We start from the raw sequence: 10,506 nt of genomic DNA on the forward strand, positions 1-10,506 counted from the left end.
TCGTGATTACGCCACTGCACTTCAGCCTGGACAACAGAGTGAGACCCTGTCTCAAAAAAAAAGTACTTTCTCTCTTGTGACTTTCACCCTGGCAGTTTCAGGTTTAGAAATCTTTGGGGGGGTGCTGGGCATGGTGGCTCACACCTGTAATCCCAGCACTTTAGGAGGCCAAGGTGGGTGGATCACTTGAGGTCAAGAGCTCGAGACCAGCCTGGCTAACATGGTGAAACCCCATCTCTACTAAAAATACAAAAATTAGCCGGGTGGTGGTGGCACGCGTCTGTAATCCCAGCTACTCGGGAGGCTGAGGCAGGAGAATTGCTTGAGCCTGGCAGGTGAAGGTTGCAGTGAGCCAAGATCGCGCCACTGCACTCCAGCCTGGGTGACAGAATGAGACCCTGTCTCAAGAAGAAGAAAAAAAAACAAATCTTTTTTTTTCTTTCATTTAACAAAGACGCTTATTAATTTATCTTTCCCCATACTCTTAATCCTCACCAGAGAAACTTGCCCAGGCCAAAGAAGAGAACGTGGGCTTACATCAGACACTGGATCAGACACTAAACGAACTTAACTGTATATAAGCAAAACAGAAGAGTCTTGTTCCAACAGAAACTCTGGAGCTCCGTGGGTCTTTCTCTTCTCTTGTAAGAAGTTCCTTTTGTTATTGCCATCTTCGCTTTGCTGGAAATGTCAAGCAAATTATGAATACATGACCAAATATTTTGTATCGGAGAAGCTTTGAGCACCAGTTAAATCTCATTCCTTCCCTTTTTTTTTCAAATGGCACCAGCTTTTTCAGCTCTCTTATTTTTTCCTTAAGTAGCATTTATTCCTAAGGTAGGCAGGGTATTTCCTAGTAAGCATACTTTCTTAAGACGGAGGCCATTTGGTTCCTGGGAGAATAGGCAGCCCCACACTTTGAAGAATACAGACCCCAGTATCTAGTCGTGGATATAATTAAAACGCTGAAGACCATAACCTTTTGGGTCAACTGTTGGTCAAACTATAGGAGAGACCAGGGACCATCACATGGGTAGGGATTTTCCATCCAGAGCCAATAAAAGGACTGGTGGGGGCCGGGGGTGGCTATTGTGGGAAGTCATAACCCACAGATAGATCAACCTAAGAATCCTGGCCCTTCTCCACTCTCCACCATGCAGGACAAACATCTTCTCAAGCAGTCAACGTAGAATGCTTGGGAAATAGTCATAATTACCCACATATAGTAATTAATAGATGGTAATTAATTGATCCTTGATGTGATGTTCTTTTGCATATTTCCTTCATTCTAAAGTTGTTCCCTGGCCGGGAGCGTTGGCTTTCGCCTGTAATCCCAACACTTTGGGAGGCCAGGACAGATCACTTGAGGTCAGGAGTTCGAGACCAGCCCAGCCAACATGGCGAAACCATGTCTCTACTAAAAATACAAAAATTATGGTGACGCCTGCCTGTAGTCCCAGCTACTCGGGAGGCTGAGGCAGGAGGATCGCTTGAACCCAGGAAGTGGAGACTGCAGTGAGCCGATATCGCACCACAGCGCTCCAGCCTGGTCGACAGAGTGAGACTCCATCTCAAGAAAAAATAAAAATAAAGTTGTTCTCTGAAGAGCAAATGTCTCATTCCAGTAATGACCCACTCAGCAGGAATATGGTGGAGTTCAGTCCAATTCAGGTCAGCCATATCCAAAAGACCACAAGTCATTACTAAGTTGAGCAAAAGAGTTTTTATCTATTAGCAGAAAGGGCCTCTCTGGCAGCAGAGATTAAAAACTGGCCCAACTTCATTTCCATACTTCAGGGAACAGCAAATTGAGGATTTACTTATCTAGGACTTGAATTCCTTCTTTGGGACCAAGTTAATAAAAGACCAAGAAACTCCTGATTAAACTGGATAATGAAGGATTCTGTAGACAGGGCTGCACGTATCGGCTTTGTTTGACTTCTCTTTTCTCAGTTAACATCTCAGAGCTAGAACATTCCACATTCCCCAGCAGCGTGTGGGGGCTGACTAAAGTTTACAATTCCAACTAAAAATCACCCTGCTTCTGGCTTATCTGAATCCCTTACCCACCCCACCCCACCACCCTACTCCTATTTATTCAGCACCACACTACCCAGGAAATACACTAGCAAATTGTGCAATGGAATAAAATCCACACTTTAGATTCTTGCAACTGTATCATATGTAATAGTATCACTTTTTCTACATTTTGGTCAAATAAATTTTTACATAAACTACAATTTGCGTGAATTTTAGAATGTGTGGGGGTACACAGAGCATTTTGGTTCAACAAATGTTAAAGGGATGGAAAGGGAAAATAACCAGAGCCAAGAATGTAGACAAGGTTATCTATTTGCTTTATACTGTGACTTCATGATACAAGGATATTACAGTCTCATTGCAGGCGAGAGCACTCAGCCTCGGTCACTCGAAAACTCCTGGCCTTCCTTATCCCCTACGCTGCCTAAGCCAGGCTGTGAAGAATGAGTAGGATTTTAAGAGATAAAAGCAGGGAAAATCATCTCTGTTGCCTGAGTTAGGAAGATCTGCCTAGCTAAGGCTGAGTTACACATACAAAGGAAAGCAGACCAGCATGGGCACCATAGTGAGACCCCGTCTACAAACAATAACAAAAATTTGGCCAGGTACAGTGGCCAAATTACACCTGTAATCCCAGCACTTTGGGAGGCCGAGGCTGGCGGACCGCTTAGGGCCAGGAGTTCAGGACCAGCCTGGCCAACATTGTGAAACCCCATCTCTACTAAAAACACAAAAATGAGCTGGGCATGGTGGTGCACACCTATAATCCCAGCTACCCGGGAGGCGGAGGTTGCAGTGAGCCGAGATCACGCCACTGCACTCCAGCCCCGGTGACAGAGCGGGACTCTGTCTCAAACACACACACACAAACTAGTGGGGTGTGGTGGCACATGCCTATAAGTCCCAGCTACTCGAGAGGCTGAGGAAGAAGGATCGCTTGAGCCCAGGAGGCAGAGGATGCAGTGAGCTATGATTGGCCTGTGCACTCCAGCCTGGGGGACCGTCTCTGAGCAAGACCCTGTCTCAAAATAAGTAAATAAATAAAGCAAAGCAGAAGCAGAAAAGCTGGAAGGTAGGCTGAGCCCACACTGATGACAGCCTGAACTTAATTTAGTCAGGAGTGGAGAGCCACTAAAGACTAGAGGAGGCCAGGTGCGGTGGCTCACACCTGTAATCCCAGCACTTTGGGAGGCTGAGGCAGGTGGATCATTTGAGCTCAGGAGTTCAAGACTGGCCTGGGCAACATGGTGAAACCCCGTTTCTACTAAAAATACAAAAATTAGCTGGGTGCACACCTGTAATCCCAGCACTTTGGGAGGCTGAGGCAGGTGGATCATTTGAGCTCAGGAGTTCAAGACTGGCCTGGGCAACATGGTGAAACCCCGTCTCTACTAAAAATACAAAAATTAGCGGGTGCACACCTGTAATCCCAGCTACTCAGGAGGCTGAGGCAGGAGAATCACTTGAACCCAGGAGGTAGAGGTTGCAGTGAGCTGAGATCATGCCACTGCCCTTCAGCCTAGGCAACAGAGCAAGACTCTTGTCTCCAAAAATAAAAAATAAAGACTAAAAAGACTGGAAGAGGCCAGGTGCAGTGGCTCCCACCTGTAATCCCAGCACTTTGAGAGGCCGAGATGGGCAGATCACGAGGTCAGGAGATTGAGACCATCCTGGCTAACAGGGTGAAACCCCATCTCTACTAAAAATACAAAAAATTAACCGGGCATGGTGGCACGCACCTGTAATCCCAGCTACTCGGGAGGCTGAGGCAGGAGAATCGCTTGAACCCAGGAGGCGGAGGTTGCAGTGAGCCAAGATCACACCACTGCACTCCAGACTGGGCCACAGAGCAAGACTCCACCTAAAAAAAAAAAAAAAGACTGGAGGAAACAAGTCAAGCAATACATTAGGAAAATCCACTTAGCATTCATCTTCAAGAAGGTCTAGCATTGGGGTGGACTAAGGCAGGAAGCCCAGTTAGGAAAAGGTTTCAATAATCCAGTACAGGTTGCCATGGAATACGAGGGAAGAAGTGATTCGAAGGAAGTAATCTTAAAATTTAGCTCGCTGGATGGCAGAGAACTTAGAACAGAATGTCAAAGACCACTACAGTTTCACTACCTGAATTTTGATATTTTGCCTCAAGATCTTCTTTTGAGGAGGGGAGGCAGTGAATCAGAAAGAGAAATGAAAGCCTTTAAAACATTAATGGAGTCTGCAGACAACTTTCTGTTATCGAAAAAATAACAAGCCGGGCGCTGTGGCTCACACTTGTAATCCCAGCACTTTGGGAAGCCAAGGTGGGCAGATCATCTGAGGTCACAGACAGGCAGATCACCTGAGGTCAGGAGTTGGAGACCACCCTGGCCGACATGGTGAAACCCTGTCTCTACTAAAAATACAAAAATTAGCCAGGCGTGGTGGCACACGTCTGTAATCCCAGCTACTTGGGAGGCTGAGACAGGAGAATTGCTTGAACCCAAGAGGCAGAGGTGGCAGTGAACCAAGATTGCGCCACTGCACTCCAGCTTGGGCAACAGATCAAGACTCTGTCTCAAAAATAAAATAACAGGCCGGGCACGGTGGCTCACGCTTGTAATCCCAGCCCTTTGGGAGGCCAAGGCGGGCGGATCATCTGAGGTTGGGAGTTCGAGACCAGCCTGACCAATATGGAGAAACCCCATCTCTACCAAAAATACAAAATTAGCCAGGTGTGGTGGCGCATGCCTGTGATCCCAGCTACTCGGGAGGCTGAGGCAGGAGAATCGCTTGAACCTGGGAGGCGGAGGTTGCCGTGAGCTGAGATCCTGCCACTGCACTCCAGCCTTGGCAACAAGAGCAAAACTCTGTCTCAAAAAAAACAGCAGGCAGAGACAGGGGAGGATAACGAGCCCAGCCAGGGGTTCAAGACCTGCTTGGGCAATATAGCGAGATCCCATTCTCCAAAAATAAATTAATAAAAAATAAATAACTGGCTGAGCACGGTGGCTGACATCTGTAATCCCAACATTTTGGGAGGCCGAGGTGGGCAGATCACTTGAATTCAGGAGTTTGAGACCAGCCTGGCCAACATGGTGAAACCCCGTCTCCACTAAAAATATAAAAATTAGCTGAGTGTGGTAGTGGGTGCCTATAATCAGCTACTCAGGAGGCTGAGGCAGGAGAATCATTTGAACCTGGGAGGTGGAAGCTGCAGTGAGCTGAGATCGCGCCACTGCAATCCAGCCTGAGTGACAGACTCTGTCTTTAAATAAATAAATAAAATAAATAACCGAAAATGTAGTTATAATAAAAGTATACAATTAAAGCATTTCCTTTAGGCCAATCCAACCTTTAATGGGCACTGGGCTGATTCAGATGGTTGGTGCAGAGAATGTGAATGAATAAAGTCACACCCTCCAATAAAGGCCCTGCCATGATTTGACCACAGTTCCTCCTTTGTGTGTCTGTTTCTCCCTCCTCCCTCCCCACTTGGGTTGTAATCTCATCTCGGGATGCTGTTTTAGTCATGCTTATGGCCTCAGCACTTCACACTTCACTGTGTTCAACGGACCTGTCCCAACTTTTGGGGAGTTCCCAATGCCATGAAGTATGGCTGGAACACAGCATGAGGTCAGAACCAGACTGTGAGGGATTTCAAACGCTAAGAGGAAGATTTTGGACTTTATCCTGCCCAGAGACCACAGATGGCTATTAAAGGAAGTGGTTTTTTTGTTTGTTTGTTTGTTTGTTTTGCTTTTTGAGACAGGATTCCACTCTTGTCACCCAGGCTGGAGGGCAGTGGCGTGATCATGGCTCACAGCAGCCTCGACCTCCTGGGCTCAAGCAATCCTCCCATCTCCACCTCCCGAGTAGCTGGGACGACAGATGTGTACCCAGCTAATTTTTGTATTTTTAATAGAGACAGGGTTTCGCCATGTTGCCCAGGCTGGTCTGAAATGCCAGACCTCAAGTAACCTGGTTGCCTCAGCCTCCCCAAGTGCTGGGATTACAGGCATGAGCCACCGTGCCCAGCCTAAAGTATTTTAGAATAAGCACACTGCAGGGTGGAATCTGGGTTAGAGAAAATGGTCAGGGAGACCAGTGGAGAAATGTAATGATTCCACTGTGGCAATGGAAATGGAAGAATGCAATTCAAGAGCTATTTGTTTTTTTATTTTTTATTTTTGAGACAGAGTCTTGCTCTGTCACCCAGGCTGGAGTGCAGTGGTGCAATCTTGGCTCATTGCAACCTCCGCCTCCCGGATTCAAGCCATTCTCCTGCATCAGCCTCCTGAGTAGCTGGAATTACAGATGCCCACCACACCCGGCTAATTTTTTTAATTTTTAGGAAAAACGGGGTTTTACCATGTTACCCAGGCTGGTCTCAAATTTCTAACTCAGGTGATCCACCCACCTCGGCCTCCCAAAGTGCTGGGATTACAGGCATGAGCCACCGCGCCCGGCCCTCAAGAGCTATTTAGAACCTCCTTAAAAACCAGAATGTGACGGATGAGAGATGAAAGGCAGATGTCAAAGACAGCTTAAGTTTCACTCCTAAGGAAAATCAGGACAAGCCAGTCTGGGTATTGGCTGATGGGTTCAGTTGTGAACATGCTGAGCTAGGAGTATCTGACAAATCCAAAGGGAGATGTCCTGAACGCAGGTGGATGTGAAGAGATGGCTGGGCTAAGGATAAAACACTGAGAATGGTCAGCATGGATTAGGAGCCCCCAGAAAGTGAGAACAGAGACAGAACAACGAGGACCACAAACACTAAGGGACAGGCAGAACCCACCCCTCCCCCACCTCAAAAAGACTTCAATGGGGTCTGAGGAAAAAACAAACAAACAAAGAAGGGGAGGCAGAGGCAGAGGTGGTAGGGAGAAGAAACCAGCAAATAAAATAGGGACAGGGCCGGGCACAGTGGCTTATGCCTGTGATCCCAGCACTTTGAGGGGATCACTTGATGTCAGGAGTTCAAGACCAGCCTGGCCAACATGGTGAAACCCTGTCTCTACTAAAAATAACAAAAATTAGCCGAGCGTGGTGGCACGTGCCTGTAATCCCAGATACTCGGGAGGCTGAGGCAGAAGAATCGCTTGAACCCGGCGGGCAGAGGTTGCAGTGAGCCGAGATCATGCCACTTTACTCCGGCCTGGGTGAAAGAGCGAGACTCCATCTCAAAAAAAAAAAAAAGGGGGATAGGGGCCAAGCGTGGTGGCTCACACCTGTAATCCCAGCACTTTGGGAGGCCGAAGTGGGCAGATCACCTGAGCTCAGGAGTTCGAGACCAGCCTGGCCAATGTGGTGAAATCCCATCTCTACTAAAAATACAAAAATTAGCCAGATGTGGTGGTGGGCCCCTGTAATCCCAGCTACTTAGGAGGCTGAGACAGGAGAATCACTGGAACCCGGGAGGCAGAGGTTGCAGTGAGCTGAGATCGTGCCACTGCACTCCGGCCTAGGCAACAAAGAGTGAAACTCCATCTCAAAAAAAAAAATAATAATGGTATAGGGCCAGGCATGGTGGCTCATACCTGTGATCCCAGCTTTTTGGGAGGTGGAGGCTGGAGGATCTCTTGAGCCCAGGAGTTTGAGACCAGCCTGGGCAACATAGGGAGACCCCATTTCTACAAAAAATAAAAAAATTAGCCTGCCATAGTAGCGTGCAGATGTAGTCCCAGCTACTTGGGAGGCTGAGGTGGGAGGATGGCTTGAGCCCAGGAATTCCAGACCAGCCTGGGTAACATAGCAAGACCCCATCTCTACAAAAAATAAAAATTAGCCATGCGTGGTGGTGCATGCCAGTAGTTCCAGCTACTCTGGAGGCTGAGGTGGGAGAATCACTGGAGCCTGGGAGGCGGAGGTTGCAGTGAGTGAAATCACACCATTGCTCTCCAGCCTGGGCCACAGAACAAGACCCTGTCTCAAAAATAAGTAAATAAATGAGGATAATACCAAGAAAAAAGAATATTCAGAGGTGATCAAGACTATCAAATACCACAGAGGCTGAGGCCTGTAGGTGGTCAATGCCTCTGGTTGAAGCTTTTTTAACCAGAGCTAGATTAGCAGAAGAATGAGCTGAAGTGGAAGGGAGGAGGAAAGGCTGGGCCCTCCTTCCACAGATCCTTAAGTAAGCCTCAAGGCCCCGGAGGCCCCAGAGTGACCTAGAACAGACTGGACCATCTCTAAGAAGCAGGGAGCCCTAGTGATCAAACTGCGGCCTGGGAAGCTTGGCACTCTGAGTTCAGATACCAAATTCCCACTTTTAAGCAGGAAGGGGGAAAAGTCACTTAACCTCCTCTGGCTTCAGTTTTCTCACCATTAAACAGGAAAAAAACAATAACATCGTTTTGCTGGGCTGGTACTGGGATTAAAATTTTAAGAGTCAGGGGCCGGGTGCAGGGGCTCACGCCTGTAATCCCAGTACTTTGGGAGGTGGAGGCAGGCGGATCACGAGGTCAGGAGTTCGAGACCAGCCTGGCCAACACAGTGAAACCCCATCTCTACTAAAAATACAAAAAAATACACCACACCAGGCGTGGTGGTGGGTGCCTGGAATCCAAGCTACTTGGGAGGCTGAGGCAGGAGAATCGCCTGAACCCGGGAGGCAGAGGTTGCAGTGAGCCAAGATCGCGCCATTGCACTCCAGCCCTGGTGACCGTGAGAGACTCCATCTCAGAAAAAAAAAAAAGTCAGGGTCTTGCTCCGTCGCCCAGGCTGGAGTGCAATGGTGCGATCACAGCTCACTGCTGCCTTGACCTCCTGGGCTCAAGGGATCCTCCCACCTTAGCCTCCTGAGTAGCTGGGACTACAAGCATACACCACCATACCTGGCTAATTTTTTAAAAAAATTTTTTGTTTTTTGAGATGGAGCCTTGCTCTGTCACCCAGGCTGGAATGCAGTGACACAATCTCGGCTCACTGCAACCTCCGCCTCCCAGATTCAAGCAATTCTGGTGCCTCAGCCGCCTGAGTAGCTGGGACTACAGGCGCACATGACCACACCTGCCTAGTTTCTGTATTTTTAGCAGAGATGGTGTTTTACCATGTTGGCCAGGCTGGTCTGGAACTCCTGACCTCAGGTGATCCACCTGCCTTGGCCTCCCAAAGTGCTGGGATTACAGGTGTGAACCACCTCGCCTGGCCAAAAAACTTTTTTTTTTTTGCAGAGATGGAGGTCTTGCTATGTTGCCCAGGCTGGTCTCCACCTCCTGGCCTCCAATGAACCTCCACCTCAGCCTCCCAAAGTGCTGGGATTACAAGCGTGCACCATGACGCCCAGCTAATTTTATTTGTTGTAGAGATGGGGATCTCCCTATCTTGTCCGGGCTGGTCTTGACCTCCTAAGCTCAAGCAATCCTCCTGCCTCCCAAAGTGCTGACTCCCAAAGTGCTGGGATTACAGGCCTGAGCCACCACACCCAGCTGCAAGCCCGATTTTCCAAATGTATCTCTCCTCTGTTTTTCTCTTTCTTTTTTTTTTTTTTTTTTTTTTTGAGACGTAGTCTCATTCTGTCGCCCAGACTGGAGTGCAGTGGCGCGATCTCGGTTCACTGCAGGCTCCGCCTCCCGGGTTCACACCATTCTCCTGCCTCAGCCTCCCGAGTAGCTGGGACTACAGGCGCCCGCCACTACTCCCGGGTAATTTTTTGTGTTTTTAGTAGAGACGGGGTTTCACCGCGTTAGCCAGGATGGTCTCGATCTCCTGACCTCCTGATCCGCCCGCCTCGGCCTCCCAAAGTGCGGGATTACAGGCCTGAGCCACCGCGCCCAGCCTTTTTTTCTTTTGATAGGGTCTTGCTCTGTCGCCCAGGCCGAATTGCAGTGGGGCGATCACGGCTTACTGCACCCTCAACCTCCTGGCTTCCCAAAGCACTGGGATCACAGACGGGAGCCAACGCCCCGGCCAGTTTTTTCAACGTTGAGAGCCCTGGCCCCTAGATAGGACCCAGCATCCTCACTGCTCTAACCCCTCCCCCCCCACCATCCCCGGGCTGGCCCGGACAACCCCTAAGGTGGCCGAGGGCGGGCCCTGAGGAGGCCGGCGCGCGCTTCCGGGCACAGCTTGTGGCGGTGAAGCCGCTCAGATGGCGGAGGCCTTGGGTATCTCTAAGCAGATCGCTAGGCCGCAGACCTCGGAGCTCGTCTTGGGTCACTTTTATTTATTTTTTTTGAGACGGAGTCTCTCTCTGTCGCCCACGCTGCAGTGCAATGGCGCGATCTCGGCTCACTGCAAGCTCCGCCTCCCAGATTCAAGCAATTCTCTGCCTCAGCCTCCCGAGTGGCTGGGATTACAGGCGCCCGCCACCACGCCCGGCTAATTTTTGTATTTTTAGTAGAAACGGGGTTTCACCATCTTGGCCAGGCTGGTCTTGAACTCCTGACCTCGTGATCCACGCGCCTCGGCTTCCCAAAGTGTGGGAATTAAAGGCGTGAACCACCGCGTCCGGCTTGGGTCACTTTTCGAGTATACAGCTCCTCC

The 10,506-nt window shown here is 49.2% G+C and overlaps 1 protein-coding gene across 4 annotated transcripts in view; it reads left to right on the plus strand.

The window, feature by feature from the left end:
• The window catches only part of TPM4 (tropomyosin 4), a 35,465-nt gene extending 33,228 nt beyond the window's left edge, over positions 1-2,237 (plus strand). For all 4 annotated transcript variants that reach the window (NM_001367836.1, NM_001145160.2, NM_003290.3 and 1 more), the window contains one exon: positions 499-2,237. In NM_001367836.1, coding sequence (NP_001354765.1) covers positions 499-581 — 83 coding nt within the window. In that variant the 3' untranslated portion in view covers positions 582-2,237. The remainder of the gene's footprint in view (positions 1-498) is intronic.

The sequence above is a fragment of the Homo sapiens genome, chromosome 19 (assembly GCF_000001405.40).
Source record: "Homo sapiens chromosome 19, GRCh38.p14 Primary Assembly".
Lineage (NCBI taxonomy): Eukaryota > Metazoa > Chordata > Mammalia > Primates > Hominidae > Homo > Homo sapiens.